General features: G+C 45.9%; 1 protein-coding gene, 1 long non-coding RNA gene and 1 pseudogene across 3 annotated transcripts in view, besides 3 other annotated features; 2 read left to right on the top strand and 1 right to left on the bottom strand.

Moving 5' to 3' along the window:
• ASB1 (ankyrin repeat and SOCS box containing 1) overlaps positions 1 to 6213 on the top strand; it is a 25324-nt gene extending 19111 nt beyond the window's left edge. For both annotated transcript variants that reach the window (NM_001040445.3, NM_001330196.2), the window contains one exon: positions 347 to 6213. In NM_001040445.3, the coding sequence (NP_001035535.1) occupies positions 347 to 474 (128 nt within the window). In that variant the 3' untranslated portion in view covers positions 475 to 6213. The remainder of the gene's footprint in view (positions 1 to 346) is intronic.
• Positions 4245 to 4752: an enhancer, noted in NCBI's record as "H3K4me1 hESC enhancer chr2:239358923-239359430 (GRCh37/hg19 assembly coordinates)". NCBI's record gives its function as "activates a minimal SCP1, AML or CMV promoter by ChIP-STARR-seq in naive H9 embryonic stem cells {active_cell/tissue: H9 hESC(naive)}" and the evidence as "EXISTENCE:reporter gene assay evidence [ECO:0000049][PMID:30033119]".
• On the bottom strand, positions 4427 to 14826 carry LOC107986003 (uncharacterized). Its single transcript, XR_001739969.2, has 2 exons — positions 5043 to 14826; positions 4427 to 5008 (listed from the first exon to the last, which is right to left on the bottom strand). It is a non-coding gene; the product is annotated as an uncharacterized LOC107986003 (long non-coding RNA).
• Positions 4753 to 5258: an enhancer, noted in NCBI's record as "H3K4me1 hESC enhancer chr2:239359431-239359936 (GRCh37/hg19 assembly coordinates)". NCBI's record gives its function as "activates a minimal SCP1, AML or CMV promoter by ChIP-STARR-seq in primed H9 embryonic stem cells {active_cell/tissue: H9 hESC(primed)}" and the evidence as "EXISTENCE:reporter gene assay evidence [ECO:0000049][PMID:30033119]".
• Positions 8485 to 9159, top strand: LOC100419686 (zinc finger protein 256 pseudogene; annotated as a pseudogene).
• Positions 8789 to 9289: an enhancer, noted in NCBI's record as "H3K27ac hESC enhancer chr2:239363467-239363967 (GRCh37/hg19 assembly coordinates)". NCBI's record gives its function as "activates a minimal SCP1, AML or CMV promoter by ChIP-STARR-seq in primed H9 embryonic stem cells {active_cell/tissue: H9 hESC(primed)}" and the evidence as "EXISTENCE:reporter gene assay evidence [ECO:0000049][PMID:30033119]".
• Positions 14827 to 27832: the final 13006 nt, after the last annotated feature.

Here is a 27832-nt window from a genome sequence, read left to right on the forward strand (position 1 = left end):
CGCGGCCCGCACCTGCTGGGGCCTTCAGTGGTCCACTCTGATTTCTTTCTCTAGTGCATTAAACATGGTCGAGTTGTGATCCAGGGAGCAGATGCCCTGGGTTAACGAGGCTGGAAAGGTTTCGCTCTTTCCTGCGACAGAAGGAGCAGATAAGAAGACCTTCCTCCCTGGGGCCTGCTCTCCTCATCCATCAGGAAAAGCCATCACTTTGTGTTTCACTGAGCGTTTTGAAGTTGGTAGTGAGCATTGGTGCACTTCTGGCTGGCAGTCCCAGCTGCCTTTTCTCTCTATAACTGGAATAGAATGAACCTTCCTCTATCCCTCTCTTTCTTCCCACGGCCTTCAGGTGTTCCCAGAACCTTGCTGTGTCTGTGCCGTGTGGCTGTGAGAAGAGCTCTTGGCAAACACCGGCTTCATCTGATTCCTTCGCTGCCTCTGCCAGACCCCATAAAGAAGTTTCTACTCCATGAGTAGACTCCAAGTGCTGCGGTTGATTCCAGTGAGGGAGAAAGTGATCTGCAGGGAGGTGGACACCGAGCCCTGAGTGCTGTGCTGCTGCTGGTCTCCTGATGGCTGTTGCTGCAGAAGATGTCCTCGTAGACTGTCATTGCTCCTCAGGTGCCTGGGCCGCTGAACAGTCCTTGGGTCATTGTCAGCTGAGAGGCTTATACTAAAGTTATTATTGTTTTTCCCAAGTTCTCTGTTCTGGATTTTCAGTTGCATATTAATGTAACGGGCCATGGGGTATGTACATGTAGGGGCTGAGGTTGGAGGCCTACTAATTTCCCTGTAGGGAAGACTCCCAGCACTTCTGGAACTGTGCTTCTCTTTATTTTTCTACTTCTCAATTTGATGGTTCGATTAAAGCCTTCTAGTATCTCAATGAAAAGGGAGTTTCGTAAGCAAAATAGAGGACAGAAATGCAGTTCATGAACTTGCTGGTTGGTTTTTCCTGCTCCTGGGGTAACACATGCGCTTGTCATACACGCCCCTTCCTTGCCCCTTCAGTATTCTCTCTTTGCGATGGAGGTCTCATAGTGAGTGTCTTCACTCAAGGGTGGTTTCCTGGCTGCACGGCACCTGTTCCAACACCTACTGTGCCTCTCATCAGGTGTCACGATTTTTCTGCCACTTCACCTTAGGGAGCTTCCAGTGATTGATTTTAGGAGGCCCACACCAAACTCCCCAGGAAATGACTGCCTTCCTTGGGACCAAGGACCGTTCCAACAGCATTCACTGCCAGTTCTAATAGGCGAGGAAAATGCCCGAGGCGCTGTCTTCTGTCCCCCACACGTACCAGAAAGTGAAAAATGCAGCGAGTCCTCTGGGTGGTTATGAGCCTCCAGGCGCATGCTGTCCAGTGGACAGAACATCTGGCGGTTGGTTGATTGCTCTCTTTTGTCTTGGTCGCTGCTTCTAGAATCTATGCAGGGGATAGCAGTGAGGTCAGAAGTCTTTCCCGGGAGAGAGATGGCCTGGGTTATCATTGCTGATAGCTTTGGCTGCATGAGTTGGGCTTCCCCTTACCCAGGGCTGCACAGCCAGGTGTGAGGGTCACCGGCAGGTGGGCTGGTGGCTGCAGCCTCAGAGCCCTCCCAGGTTGCTGCTGTTTCCAGTGAATCACATTTCGTCATTTGAAGCCCATGAGGACCATTGTGTGGATCCATGGTGATTCTAGACTTCAGATATATTTAGGAAGGCGCAGATTTCAAATCTGTGTTTGATTTTCTGTAATAAGAGAAATCCAATTTGTAAAACTTGAACAATGATACCGTTTTATTTACTTAGTAGCATCACTGTGTGTCTTAGCAGGCAGGCAGTGTCTGGCCATTATTGCGTTCTACAGCCAGAGGATAGAATTCTATACCCCCAACCCCTTGTGTCACAAATGGGCTCTGTGTGGGTCACCCCAGCTGACCCGTGTATGTGCAGATGCAGTTCCGAAGGGAAGAACAGTCCTCGGGTGATTCAGAGGGGAAAATGCAATCCGGGAGGTGTTTCCTCAGCTGAGGTGACACTGTTAGAAGCTGTGATGGTTGTGTAAATGTGGGCTGTGTGCTGTTCCCGAGGGGAGCTTGGGATTGGGTCCTGCTGAAGCCAGGAGGGTCTTCCCAAGATAGGAGAGGAACCGCAGGTGGTGAGCGGCTGGGGAGGGCCAGGACAGCCGGGGCTGGGTGCTGCAGGGGCTTCAGCCCGGGAGAGGGGGTGGGCGTGTTCTTTGTGGTACCAAAGTGGGACTAGGACAAAAATTGGGCTGTGGCTGGGGCAGGAGCTATAGGGAGTTAAGGAATGATGATACGGAAGTTGGAGCCACCACCGTGGACTGGGCCTTGTCACTGGAGGTCGTAGGCAGTGGCTCATCACCCTGGTAGGGCTGATAGGGGCTTTCAGGGAGGCTGGTTAGCTCCCTGCACTCTGGCTCTTTACTGGCTTACTGTTTAGCTCCTCCCACCTCGAGGCTCTTCTTCCTGCCACCCTTTGGGCTCAGAGGAGGGTGGCTTTTTTCGAGGTGAGCCATGTTGTAGACACATGATACGCTCTGCGTCTGCTCTACTGAGTACTTTCTGCAGGGGCCTGTTAAGGACGAGGCCTCCCCAGCCCTGCCCGGTGCAGGAGGTGGCTCAGTTATTGAACCTTTTGGGAAGCAGCACCTGGGAATGCTGCCTCGTGGGAGTCCCATGCGTGAGTGTGGTGGTGTGACCTTCAGGCTGCACAGAGGCAAGGACCCAGATGTGGCAGCATGGGCGTCATGCTCCTTTGCACAGCCCAGGGCCTGTTTTGGAGGGACCAGGTCACTGCCCCTGGTCTCTCTAGGAGGAGTGGACTGAATGGATCGTTGCAGAGAAGACTCACCCAGACCTGGCCAGGGAATGATGTATCTGGGGAGAGAATGAGCTGGAGGAGGGGGCCTCTCATGGCCCTTCCCTGGCCTGTGGCCCAGCCTGGCTGGCCTGCAGGTGTCTAGGGTCTCAGCTTTTCATTTGCAGAGGACATGTTCAACTTCCTCTCTGTTCAAGCCAGCCTTTGCCAATTTTTTCAGAATCCAAACAATTTGGAGGTTTGGTATCTTGTTTCATAGCTGCCAAATATGAATCTGAAAACAGGGTGGGTAGCTAAGGTCATTCCTCCTGGGTTTTAGTGGCATTGCCTTCCTTCACTAAAGCTCCCTTTTTTTTCTGTTGGCAAGGACAGGTTACAGAATAGGAAGAGTAGCACTTTCCGCCTAAGCACTTTAGGAAATCACCTTTCTAAGCCCTGGGGCGCCCAAGTCCCATGGGACAGGGAAACGTGGTCCTCAGTGAGGCTGCTGCCTGGCTGGCCCGGAGTCCTCCCTAGGAGAGGGGCTCGATGGGCTGGGGGAAGGAGCCTGAAGGTTGCCCCTGGTTGCATCCCAGAAGCATCTGACTGTCACCACTGCCAGTGGCTGTGGAACAGTCCTGGGCCCTGGGCCTTGGCTGCTGTCAACAGATGGGCTGGGCTGGGCTGTGGTGGGGTGGGGGACAACGTTGGTAACTCTGAGAATTCAGCTTTGGAGTCCCGGGTGAGGGGTTTTAGATAAACCCATCAATATCACCCACATTCTGTGACTCTTTGCATCACTCGTGTTATTTATTTATTTATTTATATTCTGCCTTGTTCCAGAAAAGTGTTTAAGGCAACAATGCTTGTTTTTTGGTGTTTTCTTTTGACATTTGAAAATTTAGTACATTGTTAAAATGTACTTGTTAAACAGGTAATTTTAAAGAGAAGGAACAATTGTTTTTAGTAAGTTTTCTTTTTCCTTTTTCAATGAATTGATTCTTCAAATTAAAAGTTCTTGAGAGAAGGAGAGGAAGATACAGCAGACATAGGACTGAGCCAAGGAAGAGTCTGCCTGAGAGAGACGCTTGGCCTGTGCTTTGCTGCCATCCGTGCGGCCTTGGCCACATCCCTATTAACAGAGGCAGCTCCACTTCAGACAGGGACAAGGCTTCCTGCTGTGCCTTTCTGGCAGGGTTTTGTGGGGTCACATGGGAAGCAATGTGTTACGCAAGCAGTCTCCATGTGTGTGTAAACTGCTGTCCTGGTGACTTGTCCCTCTTCTTAGTGGAAATGCATTTGAGATGGTGACAGGGCTGGATGAACGTGTGACCCTGGGAGATCCGGGCTGGACTGTGGACCCCGATGGGCCAGAGTCCTTGTGGCCCACAGCATAGCACTGGGGACAGAGCGCTCTATGCAGGTGAGGCGTATGAGAACAGCATGGTAAATAATTGATGAAGTCACATTTGTTCAACTTAAAGGATTGTTCTTTATTCTGAAGTTATTTTCTTCCTTATTTGGATGATAAAATTTCCTTTTATGTAATGAAGGTAAAAGTAGAGGGCAATATTTTTGCTTTTTGAAATGCTCTTGGTTGCAAAACAAAATGTTGGTTGCTGTTTGTCAGCCCCAGAATTTCTTCTTAAGTTCGCCTGTCTCTGAAATCCCAAAGTCACGGAACCGCAGTCTAGCTGTGGTGCATGTTTACGTATTGGTGAGAAATTCCTCTTGGGTTCTTGAACAGCCTGTACGCTGGCAGGCAGCACTGCAGCATTTCTGCTGCTCATGGCCAAGAACGAGTCTGGAGATCGCTGCGTGCGGTTTTAGGAAGTGCCAACACCCGTGGTGATGGGCCTCTGGCCACCCCTGGATCCATGGGACACACTCACAGGAAGCTGATGTGGCCTTCTCGGTGAGGACTGCACCTTAACCTGGGCACTGGGAGCCTGTGGCCCCCCTGTATGTTGGTGATGACACTAGTGTGGGTCTTCTGGCTCTGGGGCTACAGCTTCTGCCTCCTCACCTGGCCGTCGGTACTCGGCAAGCAGGCCTGGCCTCCCGGGGCCTGGATCCCTACCGGCTGGGATTGGCCTCCTGGAAGTACCTGTTTGGGCCATGTGACCTCCTTTCTCACTTATGCCTCACTCCCCTCCTCCCGCTCCAAACCCGAACCTCTCAGTGTGGAATGAACGCTCCAAACCCGAACCTCTCAGTGTGGAATGAACGCTCCAAACCCGAACCTCTCAGTGTGGAATGAAACAGTTTAGATGTGTACATGATGCACGTGGGTGGGATTCACATCCCAGGAGAATTCCACGGAGAGGAATGTGCAGATTTTGAAGTGTACAGTGATGTGTGGAATAAATACTAGAAATTCTCAGCAGACAGTGGGATGGAGAAGTGAGTGGGGGCAGGAGGGGGATTTCTGTTGCCTTGACATGTCGTTGCTCAGTGCCTGGATTGCAGGCGAGTCTCTCTTTTTTATGTTGCTTTGATTTCAAGATCTCTTAGATATACTAGGTAGTGTATGAATGTGCATAAATCCAGTTTGAGAATGGTGTTTATGAAGAAGCTGTTTCGTGTGTACAGTTGCTGCTGTAATTTAGCCAGCAGTGCCCTGCCCTGCCCTGCAGTGTCTGCTCAGCTCCCACTGCTTCTCTTTGCTGTTGGGCATGTGAGGCATGACTTGGAGGGGGGCCTGGTGCCTGGGGACCTGCTGAAGAGAATGCTCACCACCAGCTCTCTGTTTCCCTTTCTGCTTTGGTAATCAACACGTGTTTGCCTGCAGTGGCCGGGACCGTGACTGTTTCTGCCCTTGTGCCTAGTTAAGAGCCTTCAAAAGCATAATGAACACTTTTGATATGATATTGTAACTTTAGTAAATGCTTTACTTCCCTCTAATTGCCCCCAAATGCCTTAATTTTGTGGACTGTTTATTTCAACAGGTGGAAGTGTTGGTCGTGCGAAATCTTGGTATTCGCATTTCAAGAAGGGAGTTCTTTTTTCTTTCTTCTTTCTATGGAACGTTTCAAGTGATTGGATAGAAAGAAGGGCTCTGAAGCAGGAGTTTTCACCTGCTCTGAGGGAACTTGGGGCTCCAGGGACGTACCCCAAATGTTGCCCAGGTTGAAACTCCCTGACAGCCTGTTCTACGTAGTGGCTCGTGGTTTCCAGTTTGAAGAGAGTTGTGCCCCTAAAAGTGTTTGAAACCTGTGGCTTTCAAGCAAGGTACCGTTGTCCCCACAGTGTTCCGTGGGGTAGGGGGTGATGGAGACTGTGGGCAAGCCTGTTGTTTTTGGCCCCCTGTTGTTACATGGGACCTGTTTTGACGGTGGGAGGGTGAGATGTGAAGATGTGGGATGAACCTGGAATGAACGAATTAAATAAAGACATGCATCCATCTGTCAGCGACTCCTTGTGTGTTCTGCCTCTTCATTCCTTGTCCCGGAACCTCTGCCACCTCTCCTACTCTCCTGCAAAGGCGGCTTTTTATCACGAGCGGTCTCAGTCTCTCTTTGCCTTGAAACTAACTGGATTTATGTGGCAGAGATTGCTAGTTTCCATTCATCATCCACTCTCTCCATCTGTGATAATACAACTCAAAGTTTTTAGCTGGACACTTGGATTCCCAGAATAAAGGCTTCATTTCCCAGCCTCCTGTACAGCTAGATGTAGCTGTTTACCATTGCTTCCTCCTGAAATCCCATTGATATGACAGGGAATTTTTTTAAAACATAAATCCACCAGGATGATTAAAAATAGCAACAAAATTGGGAACCTCTCCAGAAAATAGGTGAATGGTAGTTGACTTAGAAACACCTGAGAAATCTACATTGTAAGAAAGAAATGGGAACATCCGAGCGTCCGAGTTGTCTCGCAGAGCTCCCAGAGGATTTGGAATTGGCACTTCTAGGTACCCCTGGAAGTAGTTGTGAGATAAGGTGAAACTAGTAGTCGAGGCCTGTTTAAGAAGCCGTTAGACTCCCCATTCCACACAGTTGGGCAACCGTGCCTACTTCAAACTCGTGAAAGACCAGAGGAGGTGTGCCGCTTTCAGCTTTCAGTATCTAAAATCCATAGCTCAGTAGTATCCTCTAGCAAGAAATAAAGCAGAACGAGACTTCTTTGAGGAATCTCACCAGCCTAAAAGGAAAGACCTAAAGTTAGCCATCCATAACATGGCCCAGGACATACCCTCACACATAACGTGGCCCAGGACATGCCCTCACACGTAACGTGGCCCAGGACATGCCCTCACACGTAACGTGGCCCAGGACATGCCCTCACACGTAACGTGGCCCAGGACATGCCCTCACACGTAACGTGGCCCAGGATATGCCCTCACACGTAACGTGGCCCAGGACATGCCCTCACACGTAACGTGGCCCAGGACATGCCCTCACACGTAACGTGGCCCAGGACATGCCCTCACACGTAACGTGGCCCAGGACATGCCCTCACACGTAACGTGGCCCCGGACATGCCCTCACACATCTTTCAATGCATCCCAGCAAATAAAATAATTCTGAGAATGAAGGCTGTCAGTTTCCGGATTACAAGGGCTCAGCGCACCTAGTTTCAACGCAATGGAAGGAGAAAGCACCCTGCCTTCTTCCATTCCTTATCAGTGTGCACATCCAGGCACATGAGTGTGAGATTTCAGAACACCGGGGAACGGCTGGAGGGAATGAACAGTACACATGCAGAGTATTAGGAATCAATAACTTTGCAGTCCTCAGATGCCACATAGGAAACACGGAATGTGGGCCTTCTCCAATTCTGAAGGAAGATTATTTCCAGATAGATTAAAAGGCATGCCAAAAGACTTGTAGGCTCCTTAAAAATGTATATTCCACACACTGTTTTATTTATTTTTATTATTTTTTTGAGACAGGGTCTCTCACCTAGGCTGGAGTGCAGTGGCACGAACACTGCTCACTGCAGCCTTGACCTCCCAGGCTCAAGTGATTTTCCTGCTTGAGCCTCCCAAGTAGCTGGGACCACAGGCATGTGCCACCGTGCCTGGCTGATTTTTTTGTCAAGACAGGGTTTTGCCATCTTGGCCAGGCTGGTGTTGAATTCCTGGACTCAAGCTATCTGCCTGCCTTGGCCTCCAAAAGTGCTGGGATTGCAGGTGGGAGCCACCGTGCCTGGCCTTTACACGCCCTTTTAAATAAAAGGACTAGAGAATGTACTCCAAAAGGAGAAAGCATGGCATAAAGGCAATGGGAGATCCAATGCAAAGAGCAAGGTGACTCCCCAGGAGCACAGCAAAAGGAGGTTCCAGGATGGCAGCCGTGCACTCAGCATAGAAGGCAGCCAGGTTGGGTTTAGTGCTGGCTCCAGAGAAGATAGCTTAACTATTAGGACACCTGTTGCCTCTGAACATATTGAGGGTTTACATAGGAGCTGAGATTGAATTATTGACAAGTACCTAGGAAACCAAGGGACGTAACTCCAAGGAAAATGGGTAGGAAAGAAGAAGTTACCGCAGTAATACTATCATATAATTTAGTTATGAATAGTATTTATATAGTCCTAAAATATAAGCACTGAACAGTAACCATATTATGATAGAAGCCTATTAGGAGAATGGAGGGCGGGAGGAGGACTGATGGGAAGTGTGTGTGAGCAAAAGCTGAATAATCGTCATTTCCATGGGGAGAGGTGAAGAGAAAATGCCCAGTCTTGAAAAGCATTTTGCCCCTGACTGAGTGCCAGAGAGCACACCCTGGGCAGAAAGCATACCCATGAGAGGCATGTGGGAGAGGCTTTGGCTTCTGTTTAAACCAGCCCAGAAGCAGCACAGCAGAGAGAAATGCTGCAGGAGGGCCGAGGGCAGGGCCTTGTGGAAAGCTGTGGAGTCCACACATCGTGGAAGCCCTTAGGGTGAGGCAAGGATGGGACCCAGCACTGGCCTCTTCAGCAGCAGGCCGTCACGGTGAGGGGAGCCACACAGGAGCACCGAAGTTGGGGGAACCTTTCACCTGGAAAGTATGGCATGTTGAGGGGGCCATGAGCTGCAAATGCACAGTTCAGCACCAGAGAACCCGAGGACAGGGAACCCAGTGCTGGAGAAAGGTCTCATGAGTGCCGTGAGTGTGGGAAGTTTCTTAGCCACAACTCCAGCTGCAAGCTGCATTGAACACTGGAGAGTCCACTGTGGTGCTGAGCCTTGTGAGTGCAGCTGATGTGGGAAAGCATTCAGCAAAGGACTCTCCTTTCTTTGGTGCCGGAAGGTTCACAACAGAAAGGCCTTGTTCATGCAGTAAAGGTTGGAAAACCTGTAGCCATATCGCTAAGTTCATTCAGCATCGGGGAGTTCACACTATAGAAAGTCCTTACAAATGCACAGAAAGTGTTCCGCCAAAGGTCTGCTCTGATTTAGCCCTGGAGGATTTTCAGCTTTAAAATGGCGGTATAGAATCAAGCTGGCTTCACATCCCCAACAGAAAACCAAAATAAATATACAGTGTGAGATTTTCACCAGCAACAACCCAGGACTCAAAAAGAGTATGAGACAGATTCTGGGGCCACAAAGAAGTGAAAAAACTCCAGGCAGATGGTAGGAGAGCCAGACTTGCGCACCCATGATGCCCCTTCCCCGGATTCTGCCTAGCAACAATTGAGTGGAGAATCTTTCCCTGACAGTATTAGTACACTGCTATGAAGAACTGCTTGAGACGGGGTAATTTGTAAAGAAAAGAGCTTTAATTGACTCACAGTTCTGCATGGTTGGGGAGGCCTCGGGAAACTTACAATCATGGTGGAAGGGGAAGCAGGTGCCTTCTTCACAAGGTGGCAGGAGAGAGTGTGTGTGTGAAGGAGGAAGTGTCAAACACTTATAAAACCATCAGATCTCATAAGAACTCACTCTCACGAGGACAGCATGGGGAAACCACCCCATGATCCAATCATCTCCCACCTGGTCCCTCCTTCGACACCTGGGGACTATAATTCAAGATGAGATTTGGCTGGGGACACAGAGCCAAACCATATCACCGACTCACCGGTTTTTACACTGGGAAGGGTGAGACTGAGGTGGTCAACCAGCTTTCCCACCATGCTAGAATCCCTGGCAGGAGACCTGTCCTTGCATTAACCGACAGGCAGCAGCATGACTGCCTGAAGAGGGAAATCTGTGGGGACAGGCAGTGACAAATGGGGGAGGGGGAACTACCATCCCCAGCCCTGGAGAGACTGCTCTGTAACAGCCACAGGAGATGCCAAATCAGAGTGGCTGTTCAGCAGCAGCCACTGGAGGAGGTATGTTTCCCAGCTCCCTTGGGCACAAACCCCTCACCAGCCTTGTCACACTGCTGGGATAATTCCTTTGGGACCTTCCCAGTTCAGGACAGGCAAAGCTCCCATCATGTTCTGGAGTTGAGGTGAGCCTGGGCTTAACGTGCCATGTGGAGCTGAAAAGGAGGCAGTGACCTAGTGGTAAAGACTTGCTAAGCAAAAATATCCAATAAAACCCAAAACAAGCCAGACAGAGAAAACTGGAATAAATAATCCTTCAATGCAAGGACAGATGTATACTCACAAGAAACAACAGCAAACAGGGAACTGTGACCTCTTCAAAAAGGACAAAGCAAAAATCTAGTGACCCTAACGAGAAGACAGTTTGTGAGCTCTCTGACCAAGAATTCAAAATAGCAGTTTTACAGAGACTCAGGGATCACCAAGAACACAGAAAATCACTTCTGAAATTTATCAGAGAAATTTAACAAAGATGGAAATAATCAAACAGAAATCTTGGAACTGAGAAATACATTTGCTGAACTGAAGAACTCATTAGAGGCTCTTAACAGCAGAATGGACCAAGCAGAGGAAAGAATCAGTGAGCTTGAAGACTGTCTCTTTGAAAATACACAGAGGAGAAAAAAGAATGAGAAGGAATGAAGATCACCTACAAGAGAGAAAATTACCTCAAAAGACCAAATCTGAGAATCATGGGTGTTCAGGATGCTGAGCAAGGGCAAGGGGTAGAAAGCAGATTCAAAGAAATAATAACAGAGAACTTCCCAAAGCTTGAGAAGGAGTTAAACATCCAGGCACAGGAAGGTCTAGAACACCAAACAGATTCCACCCAAATAAGACTACCCTAAGGCATACACTACTCAAACTCTCAAGGTCAAGGACAAAGAGAGGATCCTAAAAGCAGCAAATAACATAAATGAATGGAGCTCTGATTCATCTCACAGCAGAATTCTCAACGGAGAACCATACCCTAACCCTAACCACCTTTAACTTGGGGGGTTTTGGCAGGAGGGAATGGAATGGAATTTTCAAAATGCTTGATGATTTAGTCCTGGAATGTGCATCACCCAGAGCGTTGCTCGGAGTGCAATGAATGGAAGGAACCTCCTGCCAAATCCTAGGCTTGCGCTGCATAAAAGCCATTCAGTACAGCCTGTTTGGAAGAGCTTTAAGTTGCAGGTCCAGCCTCTCACCCTCGGCAAAATCCCATCCAAGGAAGACCTCATGAATGCAGATATAGGGGAAGGCCTTCTACCACAGAGACCTCCTCATTCAGCACTGGAATAAATGTTCACCAGAGACCCAGTCCTTATGAGTGCAGCCAGTGTGAGGAAACCTTCAGCCAAGGGCCCCACCTCACTCTGCACTAGAAAGTTCTGGCTGGAGGAGGACCTTAGGTGTGCAGGGAATGTGCACTGTCCTTGTTTGACTTAACAGCGCATGCCAGAGAGGAGATCTGAGAGCAGAGCCTTTGTGGGGATGGCCTTGAGAGCAGCCTTTGTGGGGATAGCCTTAGCCAGAAGTTGAACTTCTGTTCACATGTCCACATTGGGTGCTGCTCATGCATGGTGCTGGGTCTGTGGGAAGCTTGCAGGAGCTACATGGCATATTCCAGCCTGCCCAGAGCCCTTGCCAGAGTCATATCACTGTCCTCCTCTACCAGCTGCCGGGGACTCCTGAGCCACCCCACTATGCTCTTTCCAGTCCCTTGAGGGAAACCCACGTAGCCTGAGCCCCCATTCCCTTCTCCCTGATTGGATGGATGGGGCGTGGACATGACCTAGCTTCGGCTAAGGGGACCTTAGCCAGGGTCTTTTTGTGGCTCACAGGGACGGTTTACATTTTTTCATGGATGTTGCTGGCCTCATATGACTCTGGGTGGATTTGTCTGGCTTCCACCTCAAACTTCTAAGGGAACTGCCTGCCTCATTAGGCTACCTTTAACTTGGGGGTTTTTGTTTATTATGTGGAGTGGCTGAGAACAGAACTGGGATCTGCCATCATTGGAGGTAGGGATGGGGTGTGGAGGCAATAGGATACAGGGAAGAGCTCTCAGTCCATTTGGCTGAAGTTTGTTGCGTAAGACCTGGGAATGACTGAAGGGCTCTGTGTGCAGCTCAGTGCTGTGGCCTGGATGGATGTCAGGATTGTTTCTGGGCCCAGGCCACCCTGAGGAGAGAGTGGTTGGTAGGACAGTCCCAGCACGTCTTGGGGCATCCTGAGCTTGGTCCCTTGTATCCAGGGATGTGTCTCACACATTCCAGTTCCGTGTGGGGAAGCTTTTCCCTGGGACTGCCAGGAGCCAGGTGCCCTGAAGTGCAGAAGCTGGTGGGCGGTGTCATTGATGGTAAGACTTGCTGGGGCCACGTAGGAGTCATAGTGCAGGAATACTAGGTCTGAATAGTTGGGAGTGGGGGAGACTGCAGCAAACCTAGGGGAGGTGCCCCTTCTAACCGGGCATTCACACATGTTCAGTAGCTGCTCTGTGAGATGACAGTGCACAGAAATGCTGAGGACCTCCAGACCTGTGTCCCACAGCCACTCTCATGGGCGGAGCGAATAATCGAAAGCAGCCTAGTCCAGGGTGGAGAAGTTCACTGGGTTGCCCTGGGCCAGGGCTTCATGTTTGGTAGGGTGAAGCTGTGGGCAGGAAATTACTTGCTGGGATGCCAAAGAAATTTGCGGGACAGCTGCTTGCAGGGCATGCTTTTGGACTTGCTGGGAAGCTGGAGCAGGCTGGGCTCCCGGGGAATGCTGGGCGGCTGCCTGTGGGGCAGCTGAACTTTTTGGGAGGCCTGGGACAGCCGCAGAACTCAGCCAGGATGCTCCGTGTTGGGTGCTGCTGAAACCTGCTGGAGGTAAACTCCACTGGCGTCCCACATACCCGCGAGTGCCAAGGGAGTCGGAAGGAAGGAAAGCACAGTGGAACTAGGAAGAGAAACCCCTTCCTCTTACCAGTGTCCCTCCAGAGCCGCCCACTGACAGGCTCATCAGCCCTGTGCCAGCTGGCAAGGAAGGTGTGCTCCTGGATCCCGGCAGAGCACTGGGGAATGATCTGCAGGCTGGAGGAGGAGGCGTGTCATGTGCTTGAAGCAGTGTTGCAGGCTTCTTCCTCAGGGGACCCAGCCTTACTTTCAAGAATCTTGGCCTGTGAATTGAGCTAGGTCTGGGAACTGGGAGAGAGGCTGTTGCTATCCACAGCTGTGACTCAAGTCAGATTTTTGGCTCCCAGACCTAAGGTTTTCTGCTTTATTCCGTCAGTCAGTCCTCTTGTATTCCTAGGGATACCATGTTCAATTAGCCACTGGCAAAGAGCCCTGCGGACCAGGGTGTTTTGATCCCCAGCGTGTGTCTGCTCCCTCCCTTGGCAGACGCAGCCGCCTGGTCTTTGCTGGTCAAGTCCTGGCATTTGGCCTCTGCTCCTTTGGAACCCTATCATCCCCATTGAAATCAGAGAGCCCAGCTCAGTGGCAGTGTCCCTGCCATCGCACCTGCCTGCCAAAGAGAGCAGTTGCAAAGCTTCTCAGGGATGCAGGTGCTCCCAGGCATTTCTCAGTGCCCAAGTGAAAGTGAGAGTGCTTTGGAGCCTTCTTGCAGTGTGTAGTTGAGAGAGAGGTGTGCGGGTCACACATGTTAAACCCAGTCCAATGGTCCCATCTCCCTACGCCTCTGGAATCCCTCCTCCATGCTGGGAAAGCTCTAGCATCTCAACCTTGTTAAGTGTAGGTCATTTCTGAGTTCAAGTTTCAGTCAAACAATCAAATAAGCAGTTAGAGCCATGTGGCTTGTTCCTGGGGCGTGCCTCATTGATGGATCCAGTACGTGGAGTGGTGTGAACCTTCTGCTTCAAGGCGAGAGACCACAATTGGTGGTGATGTCAGGTAATGGGATTTTTTTTTTTTTTTTGAGACAGGGTCTGTCTCTGTCACCCAGGTTGGAGTGCAGTGGCGCAATCTCAGCTCACTGCAGCCTCTGCCTCCCGGATTCAAGTGATACTCAGTCTCCTGAGTAGCTGGGATTACAGACGTGAGCCACCATGCCTGGCCAATTTTTGTATTTTTAGTAGAGATGAGGTTTTATCATGTTGGCCAGGCTGGTCTCAAACTCCTGGCCTCAAGTGATCCACCTGCCTTAGCCTCCCAAAGTGCTGGGATTACAGGTGTGAGCCACCATGCCTGGCTAGTACCAGGATTTCTTACAAGGGCTCTTTCTAACCCACTGCCTTTTGTTGGAGAAATTGATGTTATTGGCATATTTTAAAAATCATGTCCAAATGCAGCTACAGAACATGAAGAAAATATTTTCTAGAGTGAAATGCTTCAAAGAGTGAACAAGGAATCCATCTGCTGCCATTCCCCCAATCCGCTCTGTCCCAGTCTCCAGGCTGCGAGGGGGGCCAGTGTGGTGTCTGATGACGCTGTAAGTCATCCTCAGGGACAGCTCCAAAGGTTTAGCATCACGTTTGATCCAAATGTTCAGAACGTCTCACAGATGGGTGTCATTTCTGAAAACCTGTAACTGTAGGCTAAAATTTTCTGATTTAGTTTAAAAAAGGAATAAAAAAGAATAAGCAAAGAAACTGCCTGGAAGTGAGACCTGTGCTTTAGCTGGACTTAGCCATCACTGAACCAGACACAGATGCTTTGGTGAAGGGTGCAAAAAGGTCATCCCTTCATCCCTCTCAGAAATGAAAGTGAGGTAGTTGACAATAATGAAAAAACGTTTTATTTATTAAAATGGGTGATCATTAAAAATGTCTATTTAAAATGAGAAGTCTGTGTTTGTGAATGCTGAAAGCTGAGGAATATTACCATTGGTCAGTGGTTCTTAATTCTGGCTGCACAGTGCCTGAGGTGTGTTAAAAAGCTCCCGATGCCTGGGCATTGTCTGGATCAACTGTGTGTTAGTTTCCTATTGTTACTAACAGATGACACAAGCTTTGTGGCTTAAAACAAGACAGATTTGTTATCTTACAGTTCTATAGGTCAGAAGCCCCACATGAGCCTCACTGGGCCAAAATCAAGATGTGGGCAGAGCTGTGTGTTTCCTGGAAATGCCAGGGAGACTCCATTTCTTTGCCTTCTCCAGCTTCTAGAGTCTGCCCACATTTTTGCCTTGTAGCCCCCTCCTCCATCTTCACAGCCAGCAACAAAGTCCTGGCTGGGGGTCCTCCCCACACCACATCACTCTGAGCTCCACTCTGCTGCCCTCCTACACTTTTTAGGACCCTGTGATGACACTGGGCCAACCAGATCATCCAGGATGATCTCCCTCTCTTAAGGGCAACTGAATAGCCACACTAATTCCATCGGCAACCCCAGTTAGAGCAGCATATTCACAGCTTCTGTGAACTAGGATGTGGCCATCCCCGGGAGCCTCTTACCTGCTGACCACAGCCGTAAAATCGGAATTTCTGGGAGTTGAGCTTGAGCCTCAATAGTTTTAGAAACCCTCCCAGTGGATTCTAATATGAGGCCATTTAACTAGGACTGGTTATGGGGAACAGCTGGAGGGTTTCAAGAAAGGAAGTAATGCAGCCCAATCTGTATTTTAGAAATACTGCTCCAGTTACACTGTCAGGGGTGGGCTGGTGGGGGAGGGAGGACTGTGATGGGACTTGAGTCAGTGGACAAGCGACAGCTGTGGGGATCAAGGCAGTCTTGGTTTTGCTAGCCATTCCTCAAAAGGATCAATGTCCACTACGTGAGTACTGCCCTGGGGTATGGGAGATACACAAATATTTTGAGGAGTCTTGGACAAGACCGAGCCACAGTACGAGACACCCAGTACAGCACCTCCCACCCGCAGAGGTGTTTTGTTTTTTTTTTTTTTTTTTGAGTCAGGGTGTTACTCTGCCACCCAGGCTGGAATGCAGTGGCACGATCATAGCTCACTGCAGCCTTGAACTTCTGGGCTCAAACGATCCTCCTGCTTCAGCTTCCCGGAAAGCTAGGACTGTAGTTGCTCACCACCACATCTGGCTAATTTTTAATTTTTTTGTTTTTGGTGGAGACAGGGTCTTACTATGTTGTTCAGGCTCGTCTCAAACTCCTGGCCTTAAGTGATCTTCCTGCCTTGGCCTCCCAAAGCGCTGGGATTACAGGTGTCAGCCACCATGCCTGGACCTCCTCCAGAGTTCTTGAGCAAGGCCATGCCATTGGTGGCAGCGAATTACATGCCTTTGTGGAGATACAATCACACACCATAAAGTTCACCATTTTAAAGTATGCTACTTTAAAGTGTAACAGTTTTTAGCGTATCCACAAAGTTGTGCGCTGATCACCACTGTCTAATTCCAGAACATTTCCATCACCCCCAACAAAAAACTTCATATCTATTCGCACTCACACCCCAGTTCTGTCCCTGCCAGGGCCCGGCTACAATTAATTTGCTTTCAGTGTTTATGGATTTATCTATCCCATTTATACTTATGTAAATGGAACCATATAATATGTGGCCTTTTGTGAGTGGCTTCTTTCACTTAGCATGATGTTTTTAAGGTTTGCCTATGTTGTAGCATGTGTCAGAATTTCCTTCCTTTTCATGGCCAAATAGTATTCTACTCTGTGGATGCACCACATTTTGTTTATCCATTTATCAGTCCATGGACATTTGGGTTGTTTCTATTTTTTGGCTATTGCAAATAAGGCTGCTATGAACATTTGGGTACAAAGTTTTATATAGATACATGTTTTCAGTTTTCTTCAGTATATACCTGGGAATGGAATTGCTGGGTCATATATTAACTCAATATTTAATTTTTGAGGAACTGCTGAACTGGTTTTCTCAGTGGCTGAACTATTTTACATTCCCACTGTCAATGCACAAGGGTTTTGATTGCCCTACATTCTTGCTAACACTTGTTATTGTCTGTCTTTTTGATTTTACTCCCCCTAGTGGGGATGAATTGGTATCTCACTGTGGTTTTGATTTGCATTTCCCTAGTGAGTGATACTACCACACATCTTTTCATGTGCTCTTTGGCTGTTTACATATGTCCTTTGAGAAATGTATGTTTAGATCCTTTGCACGTTTTAAAATTGAGTTGTCTTTTTATTGTTACTTAGAAGAGGTCTTTATATATTTTGGATATGATTCTCTTATCAGATATTTGATTTGCAAATATTTTCTCCCATTCTGTAGGTTTTCTTTTAACTTTCTTCATGATGTTCTTTGAAGCACAAAGGCATTTAATTTTGAAGAAGTCCAACTTATCTATTTTTCATTTTTACTTGTGCTTTTGATGTCAGATCTAAGAATCCATTGCTCGATCCAAGATCATGAAGGTTTACTCCCATGCTTTCTTCCAAGTCTTATAGTCTCTTAGTTGTTACATTTTATGTCTTTGATCCACTCTGAATTAATGTGTACATATGGTGTAAGGTAGGGGGCCTAACTTCATTCTTTTGTATGTAGATATCCAGTTTTCCCAGCAATTATTTTTGTTGAATAGTCTATTCTTTCCTCTATTGAGTTGTCTTGGTGCCCTTGTCAAAAATCAGTTGACCATGGCTGGGTGTGGTGGCTCACACCTGTAATTCCAGCACTTTGGGAGGCCAAGCCAGGTGGATCACCTGAGGTCAGGAGTTTGAGATCAGCCTGGCTAACATGGTGAAACCCCATCTCTACTAAAAATACAAATTAGCTGGGGGTGGTGATGGGTGCCTATAATCCCAGCTACTCGGGAGGCTGAGGCAGGAGAATTGCTTGAACCCAGGAGGTGGAGGTTGTAGTGAGCCAAGAGTGCACTACTGCACTCCAGCCTGGGGGACAGAGGGACACTCCATTTCAAAAAAAAAAAAAAAAAAAAAGGAAAATCAATTGACCATTAATATAAGGTTTTATTTTGGACTCTCAATTCTATTGATGTATTTCTAACCTTATGGCAATACAATACTGTCTTGATTACTGTTGTTTTGTAATAAGTTTTGAAATCATGAAGTATGAGTACTGCAAGTTTGTTGTTTTTCAAGATCATTTTGGCTATTCTGGGTTTCTTACATTTCCATATGAATTTTAGGATCAGCTTGTCAATTTCTTCAAAAAAAGGCAGCTGGGGTTTTTATAGTAATTGTGTTGAATCCATTGAGTATTAGGGGGAATATTTCCATCTTAACAATATTAAGTCTAATAATTCATTATCCCAAGATATCTTCCAATTTATTTAGGTCTTCTTTGATTTCTTTCAGTAATGTTTTATAGTTTTGGGGGTGCATGTCTTGCTCTTTTTTGTTAAATTTATTTCTAAGTATTTTATTCCTTTTAGTGCTATTGTAAATGGGATTGTTTTCTTAATTTCATTTCAATATGGGAAGCATAACACAGTGCTTGCCTGGTAGGGTTGTTAGGACAGCTGGATGGGCCAGCAGGCAGGCACCTTACGATGCCTGTCTTTTGAGAGATGCTCAGTGAGCACTGGCTGTCATGGCTCCTCCACCTCTCTTCCCGCTCCCCGCCACACCCAGGACCCTGAATGAGGGTGGTGCTGTGGCATCCTAGTTAGAGCTTGAGGCTTCAGAGCCAGCGGGGCTAAGATTATGGTGCTAATATGCCCTAGCTGGGGGGCCTTGGGAGCGTTTTATAGCTGACTGAGCTTCTGTTTCCTCATTTGCAAAGTGGGGCTGCCAATGCGATGTCGTTTGTGGGATGTTGTGAGGGATAAACGACGCAATGCAGCTCAGACACGGAGCATCATGTCTGGCCCACGCTTCACTGCATCCGGGATACCAGTGTTGATAAATGACATCACTGACTATGCCAATCACAGTTGACACCGCCATCGCTGGTGTGACGCACCCTGGCATCAGAGGTGGTAAAATGTGGACCCCATGTCTCTTGGCATTGCAGAAATGCAGGATTTCTATCATGCAGTTGCCTCTTCCACACAGTGCATGGCCTGGACAATCCCAGCAGGCTTTTCCTATGTGACTCACTTTCATGTACATTTAAAAAAATTAGGAAAGAAGCTTTCTGTGACCCCCAGGTACTCCAGCTTCTGTTGGTGGAAGTCAGGAGATGTTACAGGCCTAACGGAATCAAGGCCTCAGGTATTTAAGCTATTCTTTGTTTCCTACAGGAAAGAGAACTTTATACACAAGGTGGGTCCCCTGAAGATTAGATTATCAGTTGGAAACCTGAGTTCCAATGTATTCCCACTGTTGGATCTCTGAATGCTGTGCTTTTGACCGGGGTCTCCTGGGCCCCATATTCTAATGGTCAGTTTCAGGTTCCTCTTCTTTCACCTCTGCCTGTGGAGGCAGGAGGCATGCAGTGATCATCACCCTCCTTCTTCCAGTGTTTTCAGTCTCTGCTCTCCAGGGACCAGTCTTCTGCATATCATGTCTCCTGGTTCCATCACAGCCATGTGAAAGCACAGTCACCCTGGAGAGGAACAGAAGGCAGAGTCAGCCCCTACCTGTCTTACGTGCGCCAGGGAAGAACGGACTCATGGCCCTTCTGAGACTTCAACCTGAGGGTCGGTGAATGTCAGAACAGCAGCAACAGCGAGGGCTGACTCCGGCTTTGACCTTCAGACCCTGAGCAGCCAGTGGAGTCTAGCTCAGTCTCGGCTTTCACTGTGGACACTGAGGCTTAGGGAGGTGAGGAGACACAGCTGGCTGTGGTGGGCCCCCGCCCTGGCGGTGCCAGGACCAAGCCCAGGGCCTGTCTCATGCCGTGCCCTATGCCTTCTGAGCTGAAGAGGAGCCTGTTCGTTGAGGAACTAAGAGTGGATTAGAAGAGTAACGGATGCTTTCTACAGAAGCAAGCGGCCTGGGTTTGGAATGAGGCAGCCTGTTCGTTTGCTGTGCGTCCTTGTCCCTCTCAGAACCTTCCTATAGTAGGCGCTTTATCAATGCTGGTCAGTGAAGGAATGAGTGAATGATGTTTTTCAACAAAAATGAATTCATTTTGTGGACTAAAATAGCCTCTGGGGAGCCCATTGCAGAGACCCTGCCATCCGCGCGCCCCGGGCTGCCTGTGGCTCTCCCAGGCTGCTTTCCCTGCAGGTCTTGTACGTGGGAGTCTGGCCATCCAGCATCCCTGGGAAGGGGTTTTTGGGAAATGTGCATTTATGGATTTGAAATCCCAAACAGGATATCCACACTGCGTTAGAAGGCACAGTTGGGCTCTGAGCCAAGCTGTGGTGAGCCCTGGGCTCCAGGGCGGCTCTAGAGGACCGAGGGGCCCCGGGCGGGAGAGGTCGTGCTGCGCTGAGAGCTCACATTTCACGGCTTGTAAAACCCAATCGGAATTCCAGGTGTGCAAACCACATTTGATGTCCCAGTAACCAGGTAACAGCAGGATGGAGGACTTGGGGAGAGACTTGAGAAGCTTCCTGAGGAGGGTTGCCAATCCACTGGCCCTCGCCTTCCCAACCCATTGCTGTGGCCAGCCAGCCCTGTGCCCTGTCTCCTGGCCCCAGCATGGAGAGCTGTGCACTTCCCCTGACCACACGGCCTGCTCATTGCACAGCTGTGCAGGGCCCTTCCTCTCTCTTGGATGCCCCACTTCAGATGCTGCTTCTGCCAGGAAACCTTTCCCTCCCCTCCCAGCTGAGTGGTGACCCCACCCCAATCTCTCACCAGAGGCCTGTAATCTTAGACATGCCTAGCAACAAACATTTGGGGGAAGGGTCTGTGTACAGGTTTGTCATCTTCATGCCTGGAGGAGGCGGCAGAGGTGATCAGTGAACAAGTACAGGTCAACAGCCAGGGTAGGGAGGTGTGCTGGAGGGGGGGTGGTGGGTCCTTCTTGTGTAGAGACCCGTAGCTGATCTCTGCCCGAGTAGCTCTAAAGCCTTCTACTTCTTAAGACCACTAGAAGGAGATAAGTTTTACCCTTCTGAGTTAAAACTTTAAAAAAGCCCCCACAATATCCTAATCTATGTGTCAAAAGCCCCCACAATATCCTAATCTATGTGTCTTAGTCCATTCCTGCTGCTGTAACACAGTCCCTGAGACTGGATAATTAAAAATCATAGCTATTTTTCATAGTCCTGGAGGCTGGGGAGTTCAAGATCAAGGCACTGGCAGGTTCAGTGTCTGGTGAGGGCCAGGTACTTCTACGATGGTACCTCGTTTCTGTGTCCTCACATGGCAGAGGGGGAGGAAGGGCACTTAACTAGCTCGCTGGAGCTGCCCCCCCATTTTGTTTTCTGGAGACAGAGTCTCACGCTGTCACCCAGGCTGGAGTGCAGTGGTGCAGTCACAGCTCACTGCAGCCTTGACTTCCCAGGCTGAAGTGATCCCCACCACCTCTACCCCCCTGAGGAGCTGGTACTACAGCCATGTACCTCCACACCAGGATAATTAAAAATAAATTTTTTTGTGTGGATATGGGGTCTCACTATGTTGCCAAGGCTGGTCTCAAACTCCTGGGCTCAAGCAATCCTCCTGCCTCAGCCTCCCAGCCCCTTGGCTGAGATTACAGGCATGAACCACTGTGCCCAGCCCTGGAGCCCTTTTATAAGGGAACAAATCCATTCTTGAGGGAGGAGACCTCATGACTGAATCACCTTCTAAAGACCCCACCTCTTTGGGTCTTAGGTTCCAATATATGAATTTTTGGTGGGGAGGCACATACATTCAAACCATAGGATCATGGCAATGAGGCATTTCTGAAGATGGACTTTTATTTATTTTCCAACACTGATGATAGGAAATCCTGTAGGATTAAATGATGCCCACTTACATTTGACTTTCAGATAAATCATACGTTTTATTATAATTATGTCCCATGCAATATTTAAATTTAACTGGTCCTCCTGTATTTTTTATTTGCTAAATCTGGAAACTGTATTTGGAATAAGCTCAGGAATAAAATTCAAGTTTTTATGAGTATGTAATGCTCTCTGTGGAAAATCTGACTCATAAATAGGGATGATGATATTTTGAAAAGCAAACAAAGTAATCAGAAAGACATTTTTTCTTTACAAAACCTAAATAAACCCCTTCTAAATTAGCTTTTTCAAACAACCTAAAAAGAATTAGTGATTTCCCAAGTACTCATTGTCCATACATCTGTTGATAGTAACCATTGCAAGGGCCTGAAAAAACATACATGTTTTGTAAAATGTTTTCCTAAAGCCTAATTTCTTGTATTTACCCATTTTTTTTTACCCTTCTTATTGTTCTGTTTTCATTCCTGATGTTTCAAGATTCCCTCTTTTATCATTTCCTTTCCATTTCAAGAGCTTCCTTAAGCATTCTTTGAGGATAGGTCTTGTGGTGCCAAATTTTCTTAGTTTTTTTTGAATCCAAGAGGGTCTTGATCACCCCCTTCATTTCTGAAGGATATCTTCATTGACAGTTCTTTTCTTTCAGAATTTGAAAAATTTTCTGCCGTTTCCTTCTGGCTTCCATGGTTTCTCATGAGCAATCTGCTGTCATTTGAATTGCTTCTTTCACATAGGTAAGGTGTTGATTATCTCTCTGTTTGTTTTTTTTTTTTTTTTTGAGATGGAGTTTTGCTCTTGTTGCCCAGGCTGGAGTGCAATGACACGATCTTGGCTCACCGCAACCTCCACCTCAAGTGATTCTCCTGCCTCAGCCTCCCAAGTAGCTGGGATTACAGGCATGCGCCACCATGCCTGGGTAATTTTGTATTTTTAGTAGAGACGGAGTTGCTCCATGTTGGTCAGGCTGGTCTCAAACTCCCGACCTCAGGTGATCCACCCGCCTTGGCCTCCCAAAATGCTGGGATTACAGGCATGAGCCACCGTGCCCAGCCGATTATCTCCTATTTCTTTCAAGATTTTTCTTTGTTCGTAGTTCTCAGGAGTTTCATTATGATGTATCTTTGATGTGAATGTCTTTGAGGTTATCCTGTTTACCATTTGCTCAGCTTCTTGTATCTATAAGTTTGTGTTTTTTTGCCAAATTTGAGAAATTTCAGCCATTATTTCTTTGAGTACTTTTTCAGTCCCTCCCTTTTTCTCTTCTTTTCCCAGGACTCTCATGACATAAATGTTACATCTTTTGTTATAATCCCACAGGTCCCTGAGGTGCTGTTCATTTGTTTTTCAGTCTGTATTTTTTTTCTCTGTTGTTTAGATTGTATTGTTCTCTCTTTCAGTTCACGGATTCCTTCCTCTGTCTTCCCCATTCTGTTGTGGAAACTATTCAGTGAGTTTTTGTCTTTGTTTTGGTTATTGTATTCTTAAGTTCTAATATTTCCATTTGTTTCTTTTTCATATTTCTATTTCTTTGCCAAGGCTTTCTGTTTAAAAAAAATTTGTGTCCAGTATGTTTCCAATTCCTTGTTGAAGCATTTTTATGATGGCTGCTTTAAAATCTTCATCAAGATATTGAATATTATTAACACAGAAAAATGATAAACATTTGATGGGTATGTTATTTACTTGAATCTGATCACATTATATGTATTGAAACATCACTATGTACCCCATGAATATGTGCAATTATTATTTGTCAATTAAAAAATAAAATTAATTGGCTGGGCACAGTGGCTCATGCCTGTAATCCCAACATGTAGGGAGACTGAGGCAGGCAGATGATGAAGTCAGGAGATGGACACCATCCTGGCTAACACAGTGAAACCCTGTCTCTTCTAAAAATACAAAAAAAAAAAAAATTAGCTGGGTGTGGTGGTGGTGGGCGCCTGTAGTCCTAGCTACTCAGGAGGCGGAGGCAGGAGAATCGCTTGAACCCGGGAGGCAGAGGTTGCAGTGAGCCGAGATTGTGCCACTGCACTCCAGCCTGGCGACAGAGCGAGACTCTGTCTTAATAAATAAATAAATAAATAAATAAAATTAACAAATAAAAAAACCCTCATCATGTAATTCCCGTGTGTGTGTCATCTTGATATTGGTGTCTGTTTACTAGTTTTTTTCATTCAAGTTGATTATTTTCCTGGTTCTTGGTATGACAAGTGAATTTAAGTTGTATCCTGGACATTTTGGGTATTCAGGATCTTATTTAAATCTCCTGTCTTTTCAAGCTTCCTCTGACACTTTGTCACCTAAGAAAGTGTCAGGAGGAGTGGAAGTCCAAATTCCCCTCTCAGCTTTTATTGCCACCCAAAAGGATGAAGAAGGATGTTTTACTACTCCTGGGTATGGGTGGTGGTAGACATTTAGGCTTTACTGTGCTTCCTTTGACACAAACCCAGTGGGGAGGGGAAGGGCCACCTTTTACTGCCAGGTGGGGATGAAGATTTGACCTACTCACGTGGCCTTCTCTGATGCTCTGGGGAGTTGGAGGCATTGCTTTTCTTGATCTTAGTTTGGGAGATGTCATCTCAGGGGAAGCGCTACATCCAATGTTGCCTTGTCACTGATACTAAAAAGGACCTTAGATTTCAAGCATTATCTTTTAGACTCCATAGAGATTGCCTTTTATTTCTTCCTCTTGCCTAATTGCTTTGCCTAGGACTTCCAGTCCTGTGTGGAATAGGAGTGGTGAAAATGGGCATCCTTATTTTTCCTGATCTTAGAGGCAAAGCTTTTATCTTTTCCCCATTCGGTATGATGTTAACTGTAGATTTATTGTTTCAAGGTATATATATATATCTTGTTTTCAAGATATATTGTTTCAAGGTATATATATTCAAGATATATTGTTTCAAGGTGTATATATATATATATATAAATACAAGATATATATATATCTTGTATTTATTGTTTCAAGGTATATATATATATCTTCTATACCTAATTTGCTAAGAGTGTTTATCATAAACGAATGTTGGATTTTCAAATGCTCTGTGTTTATTGAAATGATCATTTTGTTGCCTTTTTTTGTTACTGTGGTATATCACATGTATGGATTTGCATATGTTGAACCATCCTCATGTTCCTGGGATGAATCCCACTTGATCATAATGATCTTTTAAATGTGCCTTTCAATTTAGTTTGCTAGTATCTTGTTGAGAATTTTTGCATCTGTGTTCCTCAGAGATATTGGCCTATAGTTTTCTTTTTTGTTGTGTTCTTATCTGGTTTTGGAATCAGAGTAATGCTGGCCTCATAAAATTAGTTAGTAAGTTTTCCCCCCTCTTCAATTTTCTGGAATGTTTTGAGCAGAGTTGGTATTAGTTCTTCCTTAAATATTTGGTAGAATTCAGCAGTGAAGCCATCAGGTCCTGTGCTTTTAAAAATATTTATTTATTTTTTTCTTGGAAGACTTTTTATTACTGATTCAATTTTCTTACCTGTTACTGGTCTGTTAAAATTTCCTATTCTTCATAATTTAATCTTGATAGGTTATATCCAGGAATGTATTCATTTCTTTTTTGTTTACAAATTTTTTGTTGTATATGTGTTCATAATAGTCTCTTATGATCCTTTATATTTCTGTGATATTATTTGTAATGTCTCCTTTTTCATTTCTGATTTTATATATTTGTGTCTATCCTCTTTTATTCTTAGCCTAGCTAAAGGTTTGTTGATATGGTTTATCTTTTCAAAGAAACTGACTTTTTGTTTCATTGATCTTTTGAATTGGTCCTTTTTTCACACTCTATTTTATTTCTGTTCTAAGCTTTATTATTTCCTTCCTTCTACCAATCTTGGGTTTAGTTTGTTCTTATTTCTCTAGTTCCTAGATGTTCATGGCAGGTCATTTATTAGAAATATTTCTTCTTTTTTGATGTACAGGTTTATCACTATGAACTTCCCTCTTAGAACTGCTTTCGCTGTGTGCCATAGGTTTTGGAATGATGTGTTTCTATTCTCATTTGTCTTAAGGAATTTTAATTATTATAATTTGTTTTTATTTTTTACAGACAGGGTTTTGCTCTGTTGCCCAGGCTGGAGTGCAGTGGCACAATCATAGCTCTCTGTAACCTTGAATTCCTGGGCTCAAGTGATCCTCCTGCCTCAGCCTCCTATGTGCTACCATGCCCAGCTATTTTTTAAAAATTGCTTATAGAGACAATGTCTCACTATGTTGCCTAGGCTGGTCTCAAACTCCTGGCCTTAAGTGATCCTCCCACCTTGGATCTCAGGGAATTTTAAAATTTTCCTTTTCATTTATTTATTAACCCATTGGTTATTTAGGATCATGTCGTTAAATTTCCATGTACTTTTAAGACTTCTGAAATTTTTCTTCTTGTTGACTTCTAGTTTTCCTTGTCATTGACTTCTGTTATGGTCTGAAGAAATACTTGATATGATCTCTATCTTGTTAAGTTTAAGATTTGTTTTGTGGCCTAACATATGATCTATCCTGAAGAACATTCCATGTACAGTTGAAAAGAAGTTGTATTTTGTAGATGTTGGATGGAATGTTTTGTAAATGTCTGTTAGGTTTATTTGGTCTGTGGTATAAGTTCAATTTTTTGTTGTTGCTGATTTTCTGTCTAGATGATCTGTGTTCACTGCTGAAAGTGGAACCCTGAAGTTCCCTACTATTTTTGTGTGGTAGGCTATCTCTCACTTTAGATCTAATAATCTTTGCTTTATATATTTGGATGCTGTGATATTGGGTGCATATATATTTATAGTTGTTATATCCTCTTAATGAATTGCTTCCTTTATTATTTTATTATGACCTTCTTTTACTCTTTTTACAGTTTTTGACTTAAAGTCTATTTTGTCTGATATCAGTATGGCTATTCCTGTTTGTTTTTGGTTTATGTTTGCATAGAATATCTTTTTCCATGTCTTCACTTTCAGTCTGTTTGTCTTTAGCAGTGAGGGGAGTCTCTTGTAGGCAGCATATAGATGGGTCTGTTTTAAAAAAATCAATTCAACCACTTTATATCTTTTAGCTGTAGAATTAATCTGTTTACACTTAAGGTTATTATTGGTAGAAGAAGACTTACTCCCACCATTTTATTAATTGTTTCCTGGTTGTTTTGTAGACCTTTGTTCTTCTTCTTCTCTTTTTGTTTACATCTGTGGTTTGGTGGGTTTTTTGATGTTAAGGTTTCTTTCTCTTTCTCATCTGTGTATCTGCTGTAATTTTTTTCTTTGTAGTTACCATGGGTCTAACATAAAGAGTCTTGTAGTTACAGTACATTTTTTTTTTTTTTGAGACGAGGTCTTGCTCTGTTGCCCAGGTTGATCTCCTAGGGCTCAAGCGATCCTCCTGTTTCAGCCTCCTGAGTAGCTGGGACTATAGGTCCATGCCACCATGGCTGTTTTTGAACTCCTGGGCCCAAGTGATCCTCCTGCCTCAGCCTCCCAAAGTGCTGCGATTACAGGTATGAACTACTGTGCCTCGTGATATAATACACTATTTTAAGCTGCTAACAACTTAAGTTTGGTTATATAAAAATACTCTAGACTTTCTCCTCTCCCCCTACAATTTGTATTTTAGTTGCCTTAATTTACATCTTTATCTTTTGTAGTTGATATTTTTGACCTTTTTGATTTTTAAATATCAAACTAGAGGATTGAAAGATTTACATAGCACCATTACAGCACTGGGCTATTCTAAGTATGATAGATTTACCTATACTGGTGGGTTTTATAATTTCATGTGTTTTAATGATAGTAATTATTGTCTCTTTGTTTCTAGCTATAGCATTCCCTTAAACATTCCTTGTAAGGCCAGTCAGGTGGTGAAGAATTCCCTCAGTTTTTGCTTGTCAGGGAAGTTTTTTATTTCTCCTTCATTACTGAAAGACAGCTTTTATAGATATAGTATTCTTGGCTGACAGTTTTTTTTTTCTTTTAACACGTTGAATATATTATCCCATTCTCTCCTAGCTTGAAAGGTTTCTACTGAGAAATCTGCTGATAGTCTAATGGAAATTTCCTTATTTGTGAATTGATGTTTCTCTCTTGTAGCTTTTAGAATTC

This window comes from Homo sapiens, chromosome 2 (genome assembly GCF_000001405.40).
Source record: "Homo sapiens chromosome 2, GRCh38.p14 Primary Assembly".
Lineage (NCBI taxonomy): Eukaryota > Metazoa > Chordata > Mammalia > Primates > Hominidae > Homo > Homo sapiens.